At 38.2% G+C, this 25,453-nt stretch overlaps 2 protein-coding genes and 1 long non-coding RNA gene across 14 annotated transcripts in view; 2 read left to right on the forward strand and 1 right to left on the reverse strand.

Annotated features, from left to right (window-relative positions):
- The window catches only part of PKD2L2-DT (PKD2L2 divergent transcript), a 35,509-nt gene extending 12,645 nt beyond the window's left edge, over nucleotides 1–22,864 (reverse strand). Inside the window, exons 1-3 of one of the 2 annotated variants that reach the window (XR_007058950.1) lie at nucleotides 22,692–22,864; nucleotides 21,705–21,833; nucleotides 13,853–17,166 (exon numbers count right to left, since the gene is read on the reverse strand). This is a non-coding gene — a long non-coding RNA (PKD2L2 divergent transcript). The remainder of the gene's footprint in view (nucleotides 1–13,852; nucleotides 17,167–21,704; nucleotides 21,834–22,691) is intronic. The other variant, XR_948815.3, reaches the window with a different exon arrangement.
- Nucleotides 1,405–21,396, forward strand: MYOT (myotilin). 4 transcript variants are annotated; one of them, NM_001300911.2, is made up of 11 exons: nucleotides 1,405–1,498; nucleotides 3,986–4,070; nucleotides 4,422–4,552; nucleotides 9,374–9,548; nucleotides 11,065–11,166; nucleotides 14,361–14,410; nucleotides 15,518–15,650; nucleotides 16,929–17,136; nucleotides 19,593–19,758; nucleotides 20,409–20,542; nucleotides 20,758–21,396. In NM_001300911.2, the coding sequence occupies exons 3-11, from the start codon at nucleotides 4,542–4,544 to the stop codon at nucleotides 20,928–20,930; spliced, it is 1,152 nt and encodes a 383-aa protein (NP_001287840.1). In that variant the 5' UTR covers nucleotides 1,405–1,498; nucleotides 3,986–4,070; nucleotides 4,422–4,541; the 3' UTR covers nucleotides 20,931–21,396. The 4 variants fall into 4 exon arrangements, with proteins under 4 accessions (NP_001287840.1, NP_006781.1, NP_001129412.1 ...); NM_006790.3 differs by having other exon boundaries at nucleotides 3,986–4,552; NM_001135940.2 differs by lacking the exon at nucleotides 4,422–4,552.
- Nucleotides 23,002–25,453, forward strand: part of PKD2L2 (polycystin 2 like 2, transient receptor potential cation channel) — a 53,291-nt gene continuing 50,839 nt past the window's right edge. For 6 of the 8 annotated variants that reach the window (NM_001300921.2, XM_017009343.3, NM_014386.4 and 3 more), the window contains exons 1-2: nucleotides 23,002–23,067; nucleotides 24,026–24,127. In NM_001300921.2, coding sequence (NP_001287850.1) covers nucleotides 23,037–23,067; nucleotides 24,026–24,127 — 133 coding nt within the window. In that variant the 5' untranslated portion in view covers nucleotides 23,002–23,036. Of the gene's footprint in view, nucleotides 23,068–23,770; nucleotides 24,128–25,453 lie in introns of those variants that run through there. The other 2 variants (XM_011543318.4, XM_017009344.3) reach the window with 2 other exon arrangements.

Below are 25,453 nucleotides of genomic sequence, written 5' to 3' on the forward strand. Positions count from 1 at the left end.
CTGTCTCTAAAAAAAAACTAATAATAAAATAAAATGCTTGAAGGAGTGTCTTACTCATAATAAATGCTATATATTGGCTATTATTACTTTTATCCTATCACTTGCATTTGTATTTTAAGTCTCTCTAATTTAGATGGAAAGGTTTTGTCTGTATTACTGGAATTTGAAATATCAGTGAACAGATGTTGAAGAATATTTTGGGAGACTCCTGAAATAAGACTTTGTAGGCAACCACCTACTCACCAAGTCTAGCATGCTTTTTCTACTAAGGGCTGCACGCCCAGGCAGAAATTATCAAGCTTTCTTTGAACACCAAAGAAAGGTACACCTACTTGGCCAGCTGTGAAGGATTTTATATGGCTCATATGTGCTCAAACATCTATTTGCTGGATTCTAATATACATGTTAATTCAATCAAGATTGGGGTATCTACCCATGAGGGAGGGGAACTGAAGCCACCCCATGGAGATAATTCTACTCCCTTGGCCCAATCCTCATGCCACCTACCCTACTTCACCACATTTGCTGATTCGACATTTTATTCTTCTGCAATTATTTACTTCCCTGCACAAAAATGGAAATCTAAATACCATGATGGTCTCTGTGACAAAAAGTGAAAGGAAACTAACTGTTAGGAATAAAGGGAGATGAACATGCATTGACAGCTCTAATTATATAGATTGCTTATTTGTTTGGTTGTTTCTTAAGTGTTTCAAAACTCTTTCAGAATAAAAGTACTAGGCAAAAGGGGCATATGCCATACAGATTCAGAAAACTTGCTCAAGAAACACCATCATGTTTTTCCACCTCCCTACCTTCCCAGTGACATGTCACTATGACCTCGGTCTCCTGCTTTGCCCAGACTGCCCTCCACCTCGGAACAAACTGCTAGTACTGAGAGACCTCAAATCTATTATTGAATCCTACTCTCATTAGGCAAAAGAAAAAAGACTTCAGATGAAGAATTATGCAATACAAATCAATTGGGAGCCCATCTATCACTGGTCTTATTCCTGGAGAAGTCTTAGTATAATAGATAGAAGAACTCCACTCTTGAAATATTATTTTCCCTTTAGTCCTCTCTCTTAAACTGGGAAAATTCAAAGTCCCCACCATAATAAAGAAATAAGAGGGTTTTTTTTCTATTTTTCCCATTTCCCTATTCACTGCCCTTCCCTCACATGAGCTTGCTAAAGTTCATAGTCAAAATTCACGTCTGAAATAAAGAGGCTTGCAAAAGAAGCTCATGTAATCCCACTCCTTAAATACCACTAAGACACGTGAGATATTGTTTAGATTGTGGACTCTTACTTTGACATGCCAGCATAGGTAGATGGACAGGCAAGCACATCAGATGTCACTGTTTGGCAGCTGATAAAAGTCAGTGGTGCTATAATACTAAGCACAGAGCCACTAGATTAGTCTGTGAGGGAAGGAGATGCCTCTTCCTTCCCTTCAATAGTGGGTTAAACCCAGCTGGCACCCTCTGGAACTACGGGTAAGTCCCTTCTTTATTCCTACTACACTTTTAGGTCTTGTTTTTGTTTTTTGTCCAAATCAGATGAGTGTATACAAAGATGATTTTCAGATAAAAAGTTTGAAAGCCACAACATTATAATGGTATTACACAAAAATTTAAAGAGAAAGCGACTCATTCATTTCATTGAGACTGGAAGGCATTATACAAATGATAGAAGGAAAGATAGCTGTGTGTCATTATTTTTAAATCACCATTTTTCCTTGAAAAGGGACACTTGATCTGATGTAATTGTGGTGATGTCTTATGAACGCAACATATCCTCTATCAGTCTTCTGTGCAAGTCTATGCTATATTAGAGACAGGAAAAAAATGTTAAGATTTTTTAAAAAGGAGACTGAATAGTACTTTATTTATAAAAATCTTTGAAATTCATTTAACATTATTTGGAATAAAATGACCCTGTCATATAACAGAATCTATTATAGAATTAAATTGTTGAACAGTAACTACAAACATAAAGAAAATACAGGATCACCTGCGTAAATGTCTGCATAAAATTTTGACACATGGATAAAATGAAACTTATGAAATAACATATTTTTAATTGGGCTTTTAAAAATATCACTAATTATTAACAATGTAGGCCAATATCAACATGTACAAGACAGTTGCCATTCTGAAAATATATGTAAAGAAAAAAAGAGAACTGTTTCTGGAAAATATCTACTATTTCATAAGCGGTTTATTCCTTGCTATCTGAAATGAGTCTCAATAATGTACCTGCCCAGAAAGAAATTTAGGAATCAAACTCTGGATTCAATTCTGCAACAGACTGAATAAACCGATAACTACAAAACTACTTGCCTTGAAATAGACTTTTTTTTTAGATCTACTCAAGGCCCTCCTTCAGGATGTTTTTCCCCAACAATTTAAATGCCTAAAGTAGTTCATTTCTAAAATGCATTCTAGTTTAATGTATTTGTGTTCATAAACTTGAAATTAAGGAATATTTAACTTTTTAAGTATTCTTTCTCAATAGCGTCTTTCTCTTGGCTGTTTAGTTGCATTTCTGTTTTTTCCTAAAATTGCTAGTTTTAATTTAACTCTAAACTACATAGGCAACTTTGAAATACTATTTTTTGAAGGTATCCTATTATTTAGGATGAAACTCTTTGGTCTGGAAAAGTTTTATTAACATTTTATCCAAGACAGTAACTAAAATAATTAGAAGACTTCGTTTCAATGATGACAAACAATTTGGTTAATTTTTCAGTTAAAAGTTTGATTTGTCATTATCTCAGTATTGGCTTATACCAGATGAAACAAAATAGGCAAATGTATTTTGAATCAATTTATCTGATATTTTCAATGAAAACAGGATTAGTGTGAAAACAATTTATAGGACTAGTCTTTGTGTGTAATGTCTATATATAGTCCCGCTTAGGTTTACCATACTAATGGAAAAAAAATCAGAGACAAATATAATCCTTCAAGGTTGATTTTCATGGCAAATGTTTCATCTGAGAAAAAATGAGGATGTACTGTAGGAAGGCAGGAGGCCCACTACAGAGCTAAGTAGGAGGAATGGCACCTGTCTTTTCTTGGTAAGGTATAGACTAGTTTCATATGTGTCTTATTTACTTCTATGCTTCCTGTTTGCCATTTGAAAAGAAAAAGTAAAAGAGCTAAAGCAATTTCAAAATTAGTCTGAGATCTCCAAAGGTGTGGCAAAAAAAAGAAAAAAAAGACCAAAAAACAAAATTAGTCTAAAATACATACTAAACAAATAATAAAAAGTAAAACTCTAGATAATTAAAAGAACATCAAGACCAACAACTAGGAAGTATAATCTAAAAATAACAGAATTATAAGGTATGATTCTGTTTAAAAATACATAATAAAAACAGAAAAATGTATAAGTGGCTCTGGAATGCAGCCTGTAACATATGTTCTACACAAACATATACACACAGTCACTCCTTAATTAATATCTAGTTTAGTAATATGGTCAATTTGGAATCAAGGAGAGAAAAAGAAGCAGTGAATTGTAAGGTTAAAAAGCAATCCACTCAGCTGGGTGCGGGGGCTCATACCTGTAACTCCAGCACCAAGGGGGGCTGAGGCGGGAGGATTGCTTGCAGCTAAGAGTTTAAGACTAGTCTAGGCAACATAGTGAAACCCTGTCTCTACTAAAAAAAAAAAAAAAAAAGAAAGAAAGAAAAAAAGAAAAATTAGCCAGGCGTGGTGGCTTATATGTGTAGTCCTTACTCTGGAGGGTGCAGTGGAAGGATCGCTTGTGCCCAGGAGTTGGAGGGGCTACAGTGAGCTATGTTCGCCTGGGCGATTAAGCAAGACACACACACACACACACACACACACACACACACACACAAAAGGAAGGAAGGAAAGAAAGGAAAAGAAAAAGCACATCAGATCTGAAAGATGTCAAATAAACAATGTTATTGTTTAAGCAAATATTGTAACAATTATTTTCTCCTTTTGAAGGAACAATATTCTTCAAGAGAAGGTCACTCTACCAAAGCCAGGAGCACAGTATTCTCAGGATCTCAACAAGGAAGAGCAGACCAAGGTTGCTTCTGATTCCTTACAACCTTCCGTAATTCCAGGCTTGTGGCCCCAAATTCAGGGCCCCACCCTTCCAGGAACAAATCATTATAGTAATAATTTGCCTTCATCTTCCATATACCAACTAAGCATGTTTAACTACGAACGTCCAAAACACTTCATCCAGTCCCAAAACCCATGTGGCTCCAGATTGCAGCCTCCTGGACCAGAAACCTCCAGCTTCTCTAGCCAGACCAAACAGTCTTCCATTATCATCCAGCCCCGCCAGTGTACAGAGCAAAGATTTTCTGCCTCCTCAACACTGAGCTCTCACATCACCATGTCCTCCTCTGCTTTCCCTGCTTCTCCCCAGCAGCATGCTGGCTCCAACCCAGGCCAAAGGGTTACAACCACCTATAACCAGTCCCCAGCCAGCTTCCTCAGCTCCATATTACCATCACAGCCTGATTACAATAGCAGTAAAATCCCTTCCGCTATGGATTCCAAGTAAGTGAATTTTTATATACCGCATGTACAGTGAACTTATATCTGAGGAGTTTGCGAGGGGGTAGGAGTTTTGGGGGTATGCTGCAGTTCATTCTTTACTATCTAAAAAGGCAATGTGACCTTACAGTCTCATTCCATAGTTCTACTAGAACATGCTGAACCAGGGTACTGGCAATAAGAGGTCATCTGACTATTCTCCAGTGTCCAAGCTGCGCTGAATCCAATTACCTATTACCCCATAAAATTATTTACCCATTATTTTCCATCTTTGAAAAAAATAATTTCTCACATACCAAAGAACAATGAACTTTTCCTTTAGTTCTAAGCTAAGCTCCTCATGCTGTAAATTTAATTCCTCTGGTTCTGGGCTTGGCTAAGATGAACACCTGTCTGCTCTTCTTCAGATAGGATTTCCTCTCACATAAGCAGAGGCTATTAAGTTTCTTCTCAGTCTTTTCTTCCTATCCCTTTTCCCCTCTAATCCTGAATATCCACTTGGCTGAAAAATTTTTAAATTAACAAATAAAAAAACCTGGAACTCAGACCCTGGAATGTATACATTTTCCTTACTGTGATCAGAAGAAGGAAGGCCTGAATAGATGAAGGCTTATGACCTTACGGTTTCGTTTGGTAATTAAAACCACACCTTGTTCAAATTAGTTGGGTTGATCTAAATACAGGGACTAATACTGGGGCCTTATGTAAACATGTGCTATTTCCACTACCCTAAGACTGTCCTAGGAGAACCTAGTATGAAAAAGGAGATGGTGGTTATGCTTTTTTTAAAACATGAACTGAATACCTTGTGCTTATGCAAACTATTGGCTATCAGCTTTCCTGTTCCTTGGCTGGCTGGAACATCAGAGAATTAAATCAGAGGCATCTCAAAAATTGTCTGATGGAATATGTTTTGTTGCAGGCTTACTAATACATTCACTCAACTCTGCTAATTTCTCGCAGTCTTCTCTAGAGGCTAATTTTTCTACAAACTCCTATTATTGGTGACAACTTTGGAAATCTAGTTGAACTGCCTATAGCAATTCAACTTGCAAAAAAAAACCTTTTCAATATTTTAAAAAATAAAAATCAGGAAAACCAAAAACATTTGTTAGAATCCTATAGATATTAAGTTGAACCATTTGAAATGGCTGATAGTCAACTGTTTTTGACCTACAAAAATGGCATTCTCACAGGTTTAACCTAATATTTTAAAAGGATGTTTTTAATAATTGAGAGCCCTTTCTTTCTCTTCCCTCCCAAATTCCCTTTATAATATATAGATCTTTCTTGGTTATATTTACCCAGATGATCATTTTCCATCTAGCTTTCTATTATTTCCATATTTCCTATATTAGCATTTTAAAATCTAGAAGAATTTTTTGTTTTTCTTAGTAAAGTCTTTCAATCATATTTCAAATTACTGCCCAGAAAAGAAAGTGATCAAAGACTTAAGAAAAGAGAAAGGCAAAAACATAATAAGAAATAAAGCCTAGGAGGTCCCCAAACCAGAGATCAAAGATCCACTTTAGCTGTTCCATTTTCAGCAACCACAGATAACTCTTTAATCTTCCCATAGCTACTTGATACCCATTTCGTGTCCAGCTGTGCAGAGTGGAAAGCCCTGGCCCTTTGAACATTTGTGCACAACTCCCTCGTTATTATGGGCTCCAGTTCGCCCTGACTTCCAAAATAATCCCTTGGATTCTGACCTAGAGAAATTTGAAAGCTTTATTTAGATTTTCATCAATAGGAAGCTCTTAGGCAAACATTTTACCCAGTTGATCAAACCACAGACTGAAAACTGAGGGGAACTCAATTGTTCCTTCCAAAAAGCTTGCTATGTGAAATTCAGCAAGCACTTTACCTACCCAGTGCTTCAATTTTCTGGTCTGTAGCAATATTAAAGAGTTAGGTAATTAATGATAGAGAAAGGACCTATAAAGCAGTGTGCAAACGTACTATTAGTTTGTAAATGGGAGCATTTATCAAGTCGTAACACTTAATCCACCTAAACTGGGAATAATGAGAGTATTCAGTGAACAAAGTGACTGAGGTTACATATACATCAGTGATTCTCAGGATTGGTTTTGATAATCCTTCAGGACTTCTCAGATATATTCAGAATTTCCCAGATATGACAAGTCTAAAAACAATTATTTAATGCTAATTCACATTAACAAATGTGTGACTTATAAAGATGATAAGCTAGCATTTTTAAAAAAAAAAAAAACAGTAGGCTAGGCCAGGTGTGGCTCACACCTGTAATCCCAGCACTTTGGGAGGCCAAGGTGGATGGATCACCCAAGGTCAGGAGTTTGAGACCAGCCTGGCCAACATGGTGAAACCCTGTCTCTACTAAAAAAAAAATACAAAAAAATTAGCAGGGTGTTGTGGCAGGCACCTATAATCCCAGCTACCTGGGAGGCTGAGGCATGAGAATCGCTTAAACCCGGGAGACATAGAGAGAGGCAGAGGTTGCAGTGAGCCAAGTCCATGCCATTGCACTCCAGCCTGGACAACAAGAATGAAACTCCGTCTCAAAAAAAAAAAAGTGGTCTATTATAATTCTATACGATTGAAAAAATATGAGATCTATAAGGCCAAAGAGATTTTGACACTTTGATCTAGGAATTCAATCTTTAAAAAAAAAATCGCTATTTTAAAAAACATTTTGTTTGGCTATTAACTGAACAAATCAGACTTTAAAAATTTATATAGACAACCATAAAGATCTTAAGACCTGAAATGTCAGGAGAGGAAATGTGTATCATTAGCTTTCAATAGAGTGTCCTGAATACTATGAAAATCACTCATTCACTCAACTGATAGTATCTCCTATACCCATGCTCTGTGTTCGTGGATATAAATGATATAATGATAACAAATAAGACATATTTTTTCTCCAGAATGTTTACAATCTAATGATTACTAACCAAGTTCCCAAAGCCAGTAAAAATTAAAACTCTGGCCCTACTTGGAGGAAATACATTTATACTTAGCTCACAAGTCCTTTTAATGATCCTTGAGAATATTTGGAAAGGATCATTTCAGAGAAGAGACCAAGATTGTCTCATCTGGATAGCCAGAGAACATTTATTATAATAATGGTAAAATACTCATTGAGGGCAGTGGCTAGTTTCCTCACATTAAATAGATTAATAAAGATTAGTCCCTGCAGGCCGGGTGCGGTGGCTCAAGCCTGTAATCCCAGAACTTTGGGAGGCCCAGGCAGGCAGATTACCAGAGGTCAGCAGTTTGAGACCAGCCTGGCCAACATGGCAAAACCCCGTCTCTACTAAAAATTCAAAAATTAGCTGAGCATGGTGGCGGGTGCCTGTAATCCCAGCTACTTGGGAGGCTGAGACAGGAGAATCACCTGAACCCGGGAGGCAGAGGTTGCAGTGAGCCGAGATCGCGCCACTGCACTCCAGCCTGGGCAACAGAGCGGGACTCCATCTCAAAAAAATAAATAAAAATTAAAAATAAAGATTAGCCCCTGCAGGGCTCTGAATGGATAAACTAGGTAAAAACTGAATAAAGCACTGTGATACATTTAAGCTACCTAACAGATCTAAAAATACAGGACTCTCTAAATACCACCCTATCCTCTATCAGAATCAACAAGGGAAATACGGGAGGGGCAAGGACATCATAGAAAAAATTTAGGATCAAAATTTGAAATAAAGACTTTATTTGCTTTTTTCCAGTTTACATTTCTTTCTCCTTCCTCAAATCATCCCATTTTTTCTCTAAAAATCACTTCAGTAGTATTGAAGAAACTGTCATTACTTTAGAAGTTATTTGCTGTTATATAGTGCCATACTTGGATTTTCTAGAATATGAAATTAATAGGAATTGGAAATTACAGGAAAGTCAATGACTGTGTAGACTCCATTCAAAGCAAAAGATTATTCACTAAAAGCCAGTGGTGTGCTGGTAAATGTCTAACAATCACTGGACAAAAGAGCCATTATTTGTGATATTTACCGATTTCCCTGGTGTAAATATTTCCACCACAACCAATTTCAAACTATAACATGAAATCATAGGAAGCTGGGAAAAGATGCTAAAAATCAGCCCATATGAACCAGCTCCAGAATACCACCACTTAATATCTACCCATAAATCAAACAAGAAATTCGGTCATCGTAGCTATAACAAAGAACAAAATTACGTCCTTTGCAGCAACACGGATGCAGCTTGAGGCCACTATCCTAAGCAAACTAACACAGAAACAGAAAATAAAATAGAGCATGTTCTCATTTATAAGTGGGAGCTAAACATTGGGTACATATGAACACAAAGATGAAAACAATAAACACTGGAGATCCCGAAAGCAGGGAAAGAGGTGGAAAAGGGTTCAAAAACTAACTATCAGGTACTATGTTCACCTCTTGGGTGACAGAATCATTAGAAGGCCAAACCCCAGCATCATACAATATACCCATGTAACAAACATGCACATGTACTCCCAGAATCTAAAAAAAAATTTTATTAAAGAAATTACTCATAAGATTGGAAGAGCTCTCAAGCTGCCACTAACTAGACTTACTCTCACATTCCTTAGGGAATATCTTCAAGGAAGGACATCCTCCTTATGTCTAATCTAAATTCTTCCTCCTGACACTTAATTTCCATTTGCCAAAAGGAAAAAAAAAAGATAGTAACCATTCTTATAAAATATTTCTTGACTGTTATTAGGGCAATTTGTTTTTAATAATACTAGTAGTACTAAGTGGTAAACTCAACATATCTAAAGGTAATTTGCAAAATGAGGCCAAGACCTTCTTTTTAAAAATCTTTTCTTTTTCCTTTTTAAAGCTATCAACAGTCCTCAGCTGGCCAACCTATAAATGCAAAGCCATCCCAAACTGCAAATGCTAAGCCCATACCAAGAACTCCTGATCATGAAATACAAGGATCAAAAGAAGCTTTGATTCAAGATTTGGAAAGAAAGCTGAAATGCAAGGACACCCTTCTTCATAATGGAAATCAAGTGGGCAAGATGTCTATTTTGTACAAAAGGCCAATTAAACTATAAAATCTAATTTTAATAAGGAAGTTCTAGCTCACAGATCTAGGTCCATATATCAACAAGGAATAAGATTATCTAAAAAGAAGGAATATTTGGGCCCTATTCCATTTCTCTCTGCATGAAATCACCTCTTGGTTTACAGTAGTAAAAGAATGAAGCAAATGAAAAATGTATCTGAATGGTTTAATGAAATTTTTCTGTTATTAAATATTACCCTCTCATAAAATATGTCTGATGCCCAAATAGCTATTAGGAATTACTGTCAAGTCAACTTAGTGTACTTTGATGTATAACACTGACAGGTAATTATTGCTATAATTCTTATCATGTAGTCCTTATTGTGTATATTATATTAGTAACTTATCTTTAAACAGTACTATATGCCTTTAATACAAATACATTTAGCCTATCAGTTGGACTGCTCTCAATCAGAAGTTAGTACAATCAAATATTCAGTGCTCATTTAATAAAAGTTACTTCTGGCTGGGTGCAGTGGCTCACGTCTGTAATCCCAGCACTTTGGGAGGCCAAGGCAGGTGGATCACCAAGGTTAGGAGTTCGAGAACAGCCAGACCAATATGGTGAAACTCCATCTCTACTAAAAATAAAAAATTAGCCAGGTGTGGTGGCATGCACCTGTAGTTCCAGCTACTTAGGAGGCTGAGAAAGGAGAATTGCTTGAACCCAGGAGGCGTAGGTCGCCATGAGCCAAGATCGTGCCACTGCACTCCAGCCTGGGCGACAGAGTGAGACTCTGTCTCAAAAATTAATTAATTAAAATTAAATAAAAATTACTTCTGAATGTGAGCACATGAAGTATTATATTCAAAAACAAAGCTGACTGGAACATGCAGAACAACGGAGGAAAGGGTTGAATTTCCCTTTACTTAGGAGATCCTTATTTAAGAGTGATTATGCTTGCCTGTCATAGGAGCAAAAAGAAAGCCTAAGTGAACCTTTACTGCAAGTGAGGGAAATGGTACTAGAATAGAAGGAAAATGCTTTGAATGGAAGAAAAGACTTTAAAAAAAAAAAAATAGAATCAGCCGAGCGCAGTGGCTCACGCCTATAATCCCAGCACTTGGGGAGGCCGAGGCGGGTGGATCACAAGGTCAGGAGATCAAGACCATCCTGGCTGACACAGTGAAACCCCGTCTCTACTAAAAATACAAAAAATTAGCTGGGCATTGTGGCAGGCGCCTGTAGTCCCAGCTACTCAGGAGGCTGAGGCAGGAGAATGGCGTGAACCCAGGAGGCGGAGGTTGCAGTGAGCCGAGATTGTGCCACTGCACTCCAGCCTGGGCGACGGAGTAAGACTCCGTCTCAAAAAAAAAAAAAAAAAAAAAAAATAGAATCTATCATTCAATAGATAGAACTATGCTTCTTTGAAGTTCTGACCTATAGTAGTGGTTTTAAGGTAAACCTGTACAAACATCTTTTATTAAATCTAATTACTGTCTCAATAAATTCTCTAAAGCGTCTAACATATGAAGAGAAGATGGCTCGCAGATTGCTAGGACCACAGAATGCAGCTGCTGTGTTTCAAGCTCAGGATGACAGTGGTGCACAAGACTCGCAGGTAAGTTAAAATGCTCTAAGTGGAGTATTTTTATTCTGTGCGATTTTTAAATGTCTGCTTTTCTAAATGCTTATAAATAGCATCTGAAATAAAAGTCGGTCAGTTCCATCCACCACTGGATACATAAAGAGGCCATGATAAACATATATACATAATTTTACCACATTTTACCCCATTTTCTGGTAGTTCTAATACCTGGATACACAACGTCACAAAATCAAAACACAAGAAGTCTAATGGTATTATTTTTTATCAGGACATTTATGGGTCAGTTAGACCTAGGACTCTCTATGGTGTCTACACGGACAGGGAATATATGGGTTGTGAACCTCCAATAGGACAGAAATTAAGATTATAAATGAAAGTAATTATAACCTTTCTCATAAGCTGTTTAACATTTCAATGTTTTAAAATATACTTGTGGTACTAATGAAACATCCAATTCCTTTTGTTATATTCCTGTTTTCAAAAAATGCTTTCTGAAAACCAAAAAAAACCCCTCATGAGTAATTGTTCTAAGATTAACAAATGTATCCTTTCCAAGAAGGGTTTAACTTTATGGTGGCACATCCCACAGGTTTGCACCTGATCGATTTTTTTTTTTTTTTTTTTGAGACAGTCTTGCTCTGTCACCCAGGCAGGCTGGAGTGCAGTGGCACAATCTCAGCACACTGCAAACTCCACCTCCCAGGTTCAAGTGATTCTCCTGCCTCAGCCTCTCAAGTAGCTGGGATTACAGGCGCACACCATCAGGCCCAGCTAATTTTTGTATTTTTAGTAGAGATGGGGTTTCACCATGCTGGCCAGGCTGGAACGCCTCGGCCTCCAAAAGTGCTAGGATTATAGGCATGAGCCACCACGCCTGGCCTCAACTTGATTTTAACAAGTAAACTTAACCCCAAAGAAAAATGTACAGTTGGTGGCTGGGCACAGTGGCTCACGCCTGTAATCCCAGCACTTTGGGAGGCCGAGGTGGGTGGATCACGAGGTCAAGAGATCGAGGGGATGCTGGCCAAAATGGTGAAACCCAGTCTCTACTAAAAATACAAAAATTAGCTGGGCGTGGTGGCCTGCGCCTGTAGTCCCAGCTACTCAGGAGGCTGAGGCAGAAGAATCGCTTGAACCCGTGAGATGGAGGTTGCAGTGAGCCAAAATCATGCCACTGCACTCCAGCCTGGGTGAGAGAGAGACTCCATCTCAAACACAAAAAAGAAAAAAGAAAAATGTTCAGTTGGACAGGTAGACTGAATGTTAGCACTCTTTCTTCCTTCATAGTTACCTTCCATTCCCTCCAAAAAGTCCACAAGAAACTGGGAGCCAAAGAGATTAAACCAGGAACACAAATATTCCTAGCTTCCAAATGTAGAAAACTGAAATTCAGTTTTTTTTTTCCAACATCTACTTCCCAAGTTCAAGTGATTCTCGTGCCTCAGACTCCCAAATAGATGGGACTATAGGTGCGCACACCGTGCTGGCTAGTTTTTGTATTTTTTAGCAGAGACGGTGATTTCACCATGTTACCCAGGCTGGTCTCAAACTCCTGAGCTCAAGTGATCTGCCTACCTCAGCCTCCCAAAGTGCTGGGATTACAGGCATGAGCCACCACACCTGGCCTTTGAAATTAAGTTTTTTGGTTCTGTTTGATGCAACTACACCTACTAAAAAGGATGGAAGAGGGTCTACCAGAGCAAGAACTAGAAACTGAAAAGAGAACTTAAATTTATTTTTGGCTACTAAACAGTTCATGAATTCGTTCATTCAACTAATTTACATGGAGAACCTACTTGTATGTTGGGCTCTGCACTTGGTATGGAAGATTATAGCAAAAATGAGACACAAACTCATCACTATTAGGGGAATTACTCAAAGCAATATTATACTGATGATGGTTCATCTTTTTTTTTTTTTTTTTTTTTTTTTTGAGACGGAGTCTTGCTCTGTCACCCAGGCTGGAGTACAATGGCGCGATCTCGGCTCACTGCAAGCTCCGCCTCCCGGGTCCATGCCGTTCTCCTGCCTCAGCCTCCCGAGTAGCTGGGACTACAGGCACCTGCCACCACACCCGGCTTTTTTTTTTTTTTTTTTTTTGTATTTTTAGTAGAGACAGGATTTCACCTTGTTACCCAGGATGGTCTCGATCTCCTGACCTCATGATCCACCTGCCTCGGCCTCCCAAAGTGCTAGGATTACAGGCGTGAGCCACTGTGCCCAGCCTGGATATTTTTAATTGGATTACTTTTACTTTACCAAAAAATTAGTTGATTTGTTTGATCACTGAATTGACCAGTTGTCTTGATATTTTGCTTAGAGAACCTTAAGGCTAGCCAAAAATTGTTACAGAGTTGTAAGACTTTTGCCTTAAAAATGACAAAATACATTAGCTAAATAGATTCATCCCAAAGCAAATTATTTGTACTCAGATCTTGTGTGCTCCTACAGAGCTTTGGGTAGGGACTGTGTTTTCCACTTTGTATCTCCCACTGTGCTAAGCACAGTGAAACGCAAAATACACACTACTTAATCAATTAGTTCTCTTATAATTTTCATAAATCCCTGATTTTATTCTCAAATAGAAATAATTTTCTGCTGTTCGGATATAAATCCTAAAAGATGTCTGCTTAAATACAACTTTATTAAACAGGAATTAATGCTATTTTACAAAGCTTTTTCAAAGCCTTACACATACCTTTCGTGGAGTCCATCAGGATTTTGTGCCACGAGCTAAAAAGAGAAGAATTTTCCAGTCTAATATGTGTTTACTGCTGTTGGTGCCACTTTTGAGCAGCAGGCATAATACCCTGCAGCTACTGCCAATACAAGTGACTTCATGTCTATTCCTGTTTTACTAAAGGACAATCTGTACTCTGTGCTCCCATTTCAAATGCACCAGGGAGACACATCACCCTTTGTCATAAAATAGTCATCTGAAAAATGAACCACCATCAATTCCAAGTCTAGCTAATTTTCATAAATAATACTTGTTGAATAGTCCCATTAATTCTGGGCTTCTTGCTAGAGTGGTAGTATGTTAGTGCACTGTACTTTAAGGGCTTAAAAGCTGAATATATAGAACTTACCAGGGCTGTTCAAATACAGCCAAAATAGGAATGTTCCTTTCAACTGTAACTACTTAATTCTGCTTCATTCAAGCTAACAATTGCATGTAAACATTCTTACTTTGTTTTAATTTCAAGCAACACAACTCAGAACATGCGCGACTGCAAGTTCCTACATCACAAGTAAGGTAAAAAATTTTAATTTTAAAGAAATGTATGTTTTCCTATCTAAAATATTTTCAGCTTAAAAATGTAATATTTATAAAGCCCTCGAGCCTACTCTATACCTTTTGAAAAATACAATGTGTATTTTCTAATGTCTGAGAAGATGACCAAAATTTTGACGTTCATCATCAAAACTATCACAGGGGAATTTTTTAATGTTTTGGTCAAATAAGCCAGGATCATGCTTCTATATTAAACAATTTTCTCATGACAATGGAGACCTAATTCTTATTATACAATCTTTGGTGGTAAGAATAATCTGCTGGGTACTGGGCATTTTAATAGACCATTTCTTCATCAATTCATGGCACTGTAAAAGAGAAACTAAGATGTACAATTTGTACCAGATGTTTCTAAATTGCTACCATTTCTAATAGTCATCAAATATGCCACAGGTAAATACAGCCCTAAGGCCTCTCTTCATTGTTATTACACTATCAGATCAAACAGTAGATTCTGTGGTTTCAAATTTGATGGCTAGGCTGGACGCAGTGGCTCACACCTGTAATCCCAGTACTTTGGAAGGCCGAGGTGGGTAGATCACCTGAGGTCAGGAGTTCAAGACCAGGCTGACCAACATAGTGAAACCCCATCTCTACTAAAAATACAAAATTAGCCAGGCGTAGTGGCACATGCCTGTAATCCCAGCTACTCGGGAGGCTGAGGTAAGAGAATCACTTGAACCCAAGAAGCGGAGGTTGGTATAACTGAAATACCACATCTCTGAATATAACTATATACATGTTCACACCACCACTATAGAAAAACGTCAAAAACTTAATTTGGATATTTTTATTTATTTATTTATCTTTGAGACAGACTCTCACTCTGTCATCCAGGCTGGAGTGCAGCGACGCGATCTCGGCTCACTGCAACCTCCGCCTCCCGGGTTCAAGCGATTCTCCTGCCTTAGCCTCCTGAGTGAGCTGAGATTGGGCCACTGTACTCCAGCCTGGGCAACAAGAGTGAAACTCCATTGAAAAAAAAAAATTGATGGCTAAACTATATTTGTGCAAAATGAAAAGCAATGATAATATTTACGCATAGTTGTTACCAAAATATTCTTGTAGAAGTAGATCAACCTCAAGGGGAGATGTGAATGATCAGGATGCAATCCAGGAGAAATTTTACCCACCACGTTTCATTCAAGTGCCAGAGAACATGTCGATTGATGAAGGAAGATTCTGCAGAATGGACTTCAAAGTAAGAGAAGGGTTCAAAAGTACTGGGGGAAAATTAACAATGGGATACTAAGTTTTGAAAAATGTTCTTTTCCTACTTCATAGCTTGCAAAGCAGTACGTACAATGGACAAGAACACAAATTCTGAAGTCAAACTGATGTGGGTTTGAATTCTGGCTCTGCCATCCTCCAGCTAAGCAACCTTAGACAAGTCATTTAACCTCTCTGTGCTTTTGTCTCCTCATCTGTAAAATGGGATAACAAATACCCCAAAAAATTATGAGGATTAATTGAGTGGATAGGTATACCTAATAAATACTTTTATAAGTGAAGCTATCAGAACAATATAATTTTTAAAGTACAATGCCCTTTTTTTTTTTTTTGAGACAGGGTCTTGCTCTGTCACCCAGGCTGGAGTGCAATGGCACAATCGCAGCTCACTGCAACCTGTCTCCCAGGCTCAAGCCATCATCCCAACTCAGCCTCCCTAGTAGCTGAAACTACAGACGCGTGCCACCATGCCCAGCTAGTCTAGAACTCCTGGGTTCAAGGCGATCCACTCACCTTGGCTTCCCAAAGTGCTGGGATTACAGGCGTGAGCCACTGTGCCCAGCCTTAAAGTATAATGTCTCTCCAATTCTCCTCTATCAAGAAATTCAAGCCACCCTGCTTTCTCTTGGCCTAAAAGAGTCCCTCAGACTAGAAAAGCTCTTTAGAAGAGGTTATATTTTTATTATCCTTATTTTGGAGAACTTTTCCTTATAAAATTTTTTTTCCAGATTCCTTATGAACTCAAGTTAGTGTTAAAGCTTTGGATTCCACTGTTAACAGTTTATGTAAAAACACTTAACAAATTGCCATTTATATGCCAAACTATAGCTCAAGAACACTCTGTTTTAGAAAAATTACGCATTAGATCAGGAAGCCTCATATATATGTGCCTCTGGGACTTCATTTGCAGTCACATTTAGCCAGAAAAGCAATGACTTCTATATTCCTTATGGAAACCAATGTAACATAAATTAATGTTCTAAATATAGAAATTAAGAGTTCATAAAGAGACTGAGGTTGCATGTAAAAGAGTTATGGTTTGAGACAGTCTAAAAATACTATGTTAATTTCAAGGATCTTATTTCCAATGTTTTGTTTAAAAAATTATAAATACTTTTGAGCTCTTGCTTTGCATTTCAATCGCAAACCCACTCAGATACGGGAACTGTTTAAATTCATATATGGACAAATAGGTTTCAGTGATGCAATACTTTAAAATTCTGCCATCTCCTTGTGTTTTTCTTTCTAGGTGAGTGGACTGCCAGCTCCTGATGTGTCATGGTATCTAAATGGAAGAACAGTTCAATCAGATGATTTGCACAAAATGATAGTGTCTGAGAAGGGTCTTCATTCACTCATCTTTGAAGTAGTCAGAGCTTCAGATGCAGGGGCTTATGCATGTGTTGCCAAGAATAGAGCAGGAGAAGCCACCTTCACTGTGCAGCTGGATGTCCTTGGTAAGCCTCCAAAGAGACCCTTGAGAATTCCTTAAAATCCAGAAGTATTGAAAAAAAGAAAGTATTTTAAAAGAAAAGCCCAGCAGACTTCATATTTAAGGTTAATGTCTATACAACCTATTGGAATGTCCATTTTTATCTACAAACCACAGGAAAAAATATATATATATACACACACATACATACATATATAGATATGTGAAGGAAAGTCAGTGAAACTAGAATGACAGATCTATCACCAAAGCTTTTCTGGAAAGAAAATAAATCATACAATTTTAGACAAACCAAATAATGAAGCATAAGCATTTCTAGACGTAACTATAGAGTCTCAAAATGAAAATCTTAGTCTAATCATTTCTCTGGTCTTTGTTTCTCCAAAATGAGGATAATAAAAATAACCAATCTGACTCACAGTATTACAGAATTATCATAATCTGTCAAACGTTAAATACATAGTTTAAAAGTGAAGAGTAGGCTGGGTATAGTGACTCAGGCCTGTAATCCCAACACTTTAAGAGGCGCCAAGGTGGAAGGATCACTTGAGCCAAGGAGTTTGAGACCAGCCAGGGTAACAAATAGCAAGATCTTCTTTGTCTCTACAAAAAATAAAAAAATTAGCTGGGCATAGTGGTGCACACCTATAGTCCCAGCTACTAGAGAGGCTAAGGCAGGAGGATAACTTGAGCCTGGAGTTTGAGGTTTCAGTGAGCTATGATTGCACCACTGTACTCCGGCCTGGGTGACACAGTCAGACCTTGTTTAAAAAAATTTCTTAAAAAATCAAGAGTAAATATCAACTTTTAGCCTTAGACTATGTCCTTTTTACTAGGAAACTAATGTCTAATTATAACCAAAACAGGCCTACTTGCTTTAGAAAACAGGTATGGCTACATTTATGTCTCAAATCTGTCTTAAGTAGAGCAGTTCTTATAAAACTGGTGTCTGGTTTTTAAATTTTACACTTTAAGTGCTTTAAATATACAAGTTGAGTATCCCTAATCCAAAAATCTGAAATCTTTAAGATGCTCCAAAATCGACATGACACACAAAGGAAGTGTTCATTAGAGCATTCTGGATTTTCAGGTTAAGAATGCTCAACAAGTATAACGCTAATATTCTAAAATAAAAAAAAAATCAGAAATCCAAAACACTTCTGGTCCCAAGCATTTCAGATAATGGATACTCAACCCATACCATATTTTTAATACTTTAAGCCATTGTATATTGCATAAGAGATATTTTGCTATAATTCACTATTTATTATACAGAAGTTTGATCAGGTTAAAGGATAAACTATTTTCTTGAGTTTATATTCTACCCAGATCAATACAAAATCTTTAAGATTATTCAATAATATACCAAAGGGCCTCAATCTCAGGGGAAAAACTAGTGGGCTGGAAATTTTCAAAAACACATACAATTTAAGTGATTAAAGTTTAGACAAATCCTATTTGTACCAATGGCTTCAGAAATACTACAATAGTAGAGCTGAAAGAGATCTTGGCTGCCATCCGTTTAATCTCATTTCTCCTTCAGAAAAACCAGGGTTATGGTACTGAACTATCGTTTCCTGTCTCCCCTCAGGTAGCTGAAAATAAGGTCATAATAATTACTGATATTCCCACATTCCTTCAGAGTTTACAAAGTATCTCTTTGTTTATTATCTCATTTGTTCCTTACAATTATTTTGTGTGGTAGACACAACAGTCACTACTACCGGGATTTTTTTTTTATAACAATAGATAAAACTGAGACTCAGAGAAACTAAACAAAATTTTACCAATTTGGCATGGCTCATGGAGCCAATAGGTAATTTGAACCCAAGCTGTCTGATACTCTTTCCATCACTCATGCTGCCTCCCTGTAGATGAGATGATAAAGAATATAACTTAAATTTGGGCCAGGCACGGTGGCTCATGACTGTAATCCCAACACTTTAGGAGGCTGAGGTGGGCAGATCACTTGAGGCCAGGAGTTAGAGATCAGCCTGGCTAACATGGCAAAACTCTGTGTCCACTAAAAAAAATACAAAAATTAGTTGGGTGTGGTGCACACCTGTAATCCCAGCTACTCAGGAGGCTGTGGCAGGAGACTTCCTTGAACCTGGGAGGCGGAGGTTGCAGTGAACCAAGATCACGCCACTGCGCTCCAGCCTGGGCAAAAGAGCGAGACTCTGTCTCAAAAAAAAAAAAAAAAAAAAAAAAAAAAAAGAATATGACTTTAGTTTGAATGAAATATAATTATCTGATTATCAATTCAATGCATCATTACATTAGAGTTTAGAATTCTGAATGGTATAACAAAATAGTACTGCATGTCTTTTTTACTGAGTTTCTTTCTGTTGCTGTTGCTTTTTAACATTTTAATATCAACATACAAATTTCATAATACCTTGGTTTGATTTAATACCTTTTTTATAATATTTCAAATACTTGAATTTTTGTATTAATATATAGCAAAAGAACATAAAAGAGCACCAATGTTTATCTACAAACCACAGAGCAAAAAAGTTTTAGAGGGAGATTCAGTGAAACTAGAATGCCAGATCTCGGCTATACCTCCACCAAAGCTTTTCTGGAAAAGAAATAATGAAATGGTACAATTCAACACTGACCGAATAAGGTAGGATATGTATTTCTAGACTTACTATAGTTTATTTGGGTGAATCCAGTTATACTTTTTAACATGCATTATAAATGGCATGCATTTATCTCAATTTGTCTAGTTTTTAAAACACTAAAGAATAATATAATAAAATATATATTAGATAAAAATGTAAGAAAACTTCAGTAAGCCAGATTCCACTAATCAGAAATGTAAGGCATAAAGTAGACTAGGATTTATCTTTTTATCAACGATGATGAAAGATGGCCCAAGGAAATAAATGACATAAACAAGATTAAAGGGGGATGTTTTCTTTTCTTTTCTTTCTTTACAAAAAGCTTCAGCCTTTATTAAACAAAGGAGGAGGTAGGAGACAGATAACGGAACAGGTCAGGACCCCTCCATTCCCCTATACATACGCATAAATACAAACACAGACACACCCGAGTGAATGACAGGGACCATCAGGGGACAGATTGAAGAGCAGAGGGAGACAGCACCCAAGGGGGGATGTTTAATTCAAGAAAACCAATAGCTATTTGGCAATAAATAGATACAGCTTTGGAATTTTCAAATGTTTTTTTCTTCCTAGTCTGACTGTTGGTCAGAGACATCCACTTCACAGAAATAATTCCTGTACTTTCATTTCTTAAAAATTTTTATTTCAGCTTATATCAAGATAACACTGGAAGAGTTACTTTACTGATAAAAGATGTAAACAAGAAAGATGCTGGGTGGTATACTGTGTCAGCAGTTAATGAAGCTGGAGTGACTACATGTAACACAAGATTAGACGTTACGGGTATGTCATACTATTAACCAAAGTATTATAAGGGATTTAACTAGGAAGATTTAATAAGAAATGAAAATCCCAGCAGAGTATAAAATTTGAGATATTTTCCCCATATATAATCAGTTTTGGTTCTTTTTTCTTTTCCTGTCTGATAATAAATACCTAGTGTGACCAATTTGGTTAGAACAGGTTTTCTGAATCAACTTTTATGTGATCTATTTCAGCACGTCCAAACCAAACTCTTCCAGCTCCTAAGCAGTTACGGGTTCGACCAACATTCAGCAAATATTTAGCACTTAATGGGAAAGGTTTGAATGTAAAACAAGCTTTTAACCCAGAAGGAGAATTTCAGCGTTTGGCAGCTCAATCTGGACTCTATGAAAGTGAAGAACTTTAATAACTTTACCAACATTGGAAAACAGCCAACTACACCATTAGTAATATATTTGATTACATTTTTTTGAAATTAATCCATAGCTGTATTAACAGATTATGGTTTTAATTAGGTAATATAGTTAATATATATTTATAATATTATTTATCCTTTGACTCTTGCACATTCTATGTACCCCTCCGATTTGTGAAGCCTACAGGAAATCTGGGTATATGGATTTGTAACTGCAGAAGACTATCTTAAAATACAGGATTTTAACATTTAAGTCATGCACATTTAACAATTACAGGTTATAAATTAGTATCAACTTTTTAAACACATCTAATGCTTGTAATAACGTTTACTGGTACTGCTTTCTAAATACTGTTTTACCCGTTTTCTCTTGTAGGAATACTAACATGGTATAGATTATCTGAGTGTTCCACAGTTGTATGTCAAAAGAAAATAAAATTCAAATATTTAAAACGGACTGTCTCCTCTTCACAAAAGTCTAGATCTGTAAAATAAAACTCCACTCAGCAAAACCTATGAATAACAAGTTCCAAAAGAGCAATGTTATATTCTAGAACAGTGTGAAGCTCACTTACAGCTCAGCCAATTCCTCTAGAAACTAAGCTAGACTTGCCATGGTTTGCACTTCAAAGGCAATCACAAGAACTTAAATCATGACTGAATCTACTGAATTTGTGATTTTGTTTTAACCAAACAGGTTTCTAATTCTTCAGGATTTTTCAGTCTGTTATGCTCAAAGGAATAAGAATAGTCTCTAGAGATTACCTGCTTAATTCTCATAGTTAATGTAAATTTGACAGCCCGGTAGTCCCAGCTGCTGGGAGAGGTTGAGCTGGGGATCCCTTAAGATCAGGAGTTTGAGGCCAGACTGGGAAATATAGCGAGACTCCATCTCTAAAAAAAAAAAAATTATGTAAATTTGATTACCTATATATGGGTGTTTTTCCTCTAATAATTTCAATTTCAGATAATCTGTTACTTTAGAAAGCATAATTTTGTGAACAGCTGAGAGTCCCAGTACAGGAAAGCCCAAATCCTTTTGTTAAAACTATTCTAAAGCTTTTTTTCCTCTCGGGCTTCTAGTTCACTGGCTGTCAGCCTTTTGCGAGGCCTCTCCTGTTCCTCTCATCGATGGTAGTTTTTGACCCTCACTACTGTGTGGCCGTTTTGCTTTTTATCTACACATAAAACAGCATTTATCGACAGCAGTCTACATCTCTTTCAGGGAAATAACAAAAGTGGCTTTATCTTTTACTTTCAAAACTGGTTAGTGGTTTTCTTTGCAGGTTTCCCTGGGGCCTTTGGACTGGATTCCATTTTATTTTCCTTTTTATCAACACGAGAATCCGTCCTGGTCTTACATCCTGGAGGGCTTTTGGCTGCCTTAATTTACAGCCAAATTAGTTTGGCCTTTTCTATAGCTGGTTTACCAACCTTCTCATCTTTGCAAAGCTTCTGGGTCAGATGTGGGTCTGGGCCCCAGGACTCCTGTGTCGGCCTGACCTTTCACATAATCACTGCAGAGTTTTTCATCTATTTTTACATCACGGGGGCAGGGGAGTGGAAGCTACTTCCAGCAACAGCTCTCGGTTAATAACCAGTTTCTGCAAGTAGCAGCAGCAGCAGCAGCGTAGGGTCACGGTTAGGAATTTGGGCTTGGGCATCCAAGACTTGGCCCCAACTTCCAGTGAATTACTTCATTTCTCAGCTTCTCGGTTTCTTCAGGCCTAAAATGAGGACAAAAATACCTACCTTTCACGGAGGTGGATGTGGAGACTAACAAGGCGATAAATGTTAAAGGTATTCGAGAGAGAGAAGCCCGTGATAATGAATGACTACGATTTTTAAGCCCACAGCCAGGTTATTCCCAGAAGTTGGCCCTCCGCACCAGACCCCAGCAGCCCGCAGCCCGCCTCGGGCGAAAGGCCTCCCGGGCTCCTGCGGCGCAGCCGCGCTGACGACTTGTCGAGTAGCTCGCCGCCCTGGAGGAGCTGGGGGCTCGCGCAGGCGTCAGAGCCGGGCAGCGCGCGCCGCAAGACTAGCGCGCAAGCGCCGCGGCCTCAGGCGAACGAACGGGCGGTGTAGTGCAGGTCCGCCATGGCTGAGGCGTCACGGTGGCACCGAGGCGGTGAGGGGTCCTCTTAAGGAGTGGGAGGGACAGGGGCGATTTGGCAGTTCCAGACACCCTGAAAGGAACTCTGCGGCCCCAAATTCGTTTGAGAGATGTGACTGCCGACACCTTTAGCCCTCACAGCCTCCCCTGGGGAAGCGGAGAGGGACAGATGGTCCCATTGCACAGACGGGAAAACTGAAGCCCTGAGCGAGGTGGCGCTCGCCTCTTGCCGGAGGCTCGAGCTGGGCGTTGTCACCTGTCGAGTGACCGTCGCTAGGCCGGTCTCTAAAGTCCTTGGTTGATCTGGGGAGTCGTGACCTTGACAGAATTCAAGCCGAGGTGTTTTTCCCCTGTCCAGCAGAAACCAGCCTTCCCAAGAAGCTGTATTGAGGGTGGAGAAAACGGTTAGGACAGATGAGAGGTTTTACTTGTTTCGTATTTTGCTTTTTCATCTTAAGACTGGCGAGAAGACATCATGATATAAAATCTGTTAGTGGCCGGGCGCAGTGGCTCAAGCCTGTAATCCCAACACTTTGGGAGGCCGAGGCGGGCGGATCACAAGGTCAAGAGATCGAGACCATCCTGGCCAACATGGTGAAACCCCATCTCTACTAAAAATACGAAAATTAGCTGGGTGTGGTGGCGCGCGCCTGTAGTCCCAGCTACTCGGGAGGCTGAGGCAGGAGAATCGCTTGAACCGGGGAGGCGGAGGCTGCAGTGAGACGAGATCGCGTCACTGAACTCCAGCCTGGCGACAGAGCTAGACTCCGTCTCAAAAAAAAAATCTGTTATTAATAGTATATAGTAAAAAAATTATCCCTGCCTCGTAAAACTAAGAATTGAAAAATAGCCAGAAGCTATTGGAGCTTTCCTCCCCGCAGTGTAAGGACTAAAAGTGGCTGTGGTTTTTCCATTGTTGTCACTTATAAATTACATAATAATGTAAAGAAAAATTTTGTCTTATATCTCACAGGGGCTTCGAAACATAAGTTGCATTACAGAAAGGAAGTAGAAATTACAACCACACTTCAGGAATTGTTACTCTACTTTATTTTTTTAATAAACCTATGTATATGTAAGTACACAGATATAAAGATGCTGTTTGTTTGAACTAAGAAGTTAAAATGTGGAGATGAAAAATAAAACATACAAACTTCAAAACCACAGGCTGTCAGGCTACTAAAACTCAAAATACAGTGACACGTTTAAACATAATCTTAAATTCATTTAGATTCATTTCATTTAGAAATTGACTATTTTCAGTTCTTAAGGGGCAAAATTTTACATCGCAAATGTAAGAAGCTTCCATAGTCAATACTGACTGAATTAGAATTATTCCTTTCATTTGGCAGTTCTGTCTTGAGCATAATTCATCCCTTGGGTTGGCAACTGCAATTTGATTTTGTTTAGAGTCATATAGACACATCAGCTGAGTTTCATAAATCAAAGTACAAATGAGGCCAAAGTTCATCTTGGTGTCTGCCATTAGCTTGGTTCTTTTCACTGACCTATTGCAGTTAAAAAAATAGTTTGTGCTGAGTCAATGCAAATAATTAAGGAGGACTGGGAAAACATCTCAACCTGCATTCCTCCTACCTGTGGGTCAATAGCATTGGCTTAATATGCAAAGAGGAGTATTAAAGAGCATTTGTCGATGGCACCCAACATAACAGTAGATGAAAGCTCACTGGCAGTATTGTCTCATGTTGGTATGTGCTACACACTGGCAATTGTATAGCAATTAAGTAATTAATTGGTGTTGTAGGGGTGAGTTTGAGTCTGCTCTTGATTGAAAAGACAACTATAAAATTAGCCAGGTGTGGTGGCACACCCCTGTAGTCCTAGCTACTGAGAAGGCTGAGGTGGAGGATTGCTTGAGCACAGGAGGTCGAGGCTGCAGTGAACTGTGATTGCAACGACTGCACTTCAGCCTGGGTGACAGGCTGAGACCCTGTCCCAAGGAAAAAAAAAAAAAAGATAACTGTAGGCAACTTTATAAATTAAGATATCTTAGACTGCTTTATAAAAGCTTGGTTATGAAAACTACATGCTTACTACAGAACATTTGGAAAATGTAAAAATGTAAGTAAAAAGATCATTTATAATCCCATTATTCAGAGATTTTTAAAGAACACTTTTTTTAATATAATACAGCAACCTGAATCTCCATTTATAATGTGATTTTTTTTCTTTTTTTTTTCTTTTTTGAGACAGTCTCGCTCTGTCACCCAGGCTGGAGTACAGTGGCTCACTGCAACCTCCACCTCCTGAGTTCAAGCGATTCTCCTGCCTCAGCCTCCGGAGTAGCTGGGATTACAGGCCTGTGCCACCACGCCCGGCTAATTTTGTATGTTTTTAGTAGAGACAGGGTTTTCACCATGTTGGTCAGTCTGGTCTCGAA

The sequence above is a fragment of the Homo sapiens genome, chromosome 5 (genome assembly GCF_000001405.40).
Source record: "Homo sapiens chromosome 5, GRCh38.p14 Primary Assembly".
Taxonomy (NCBI): domain Eukaryota; kingdom Metazoa; phylum Chordata; class Mammalia; order Primates; family Hominidae; genus Homo; species Homo sapiens.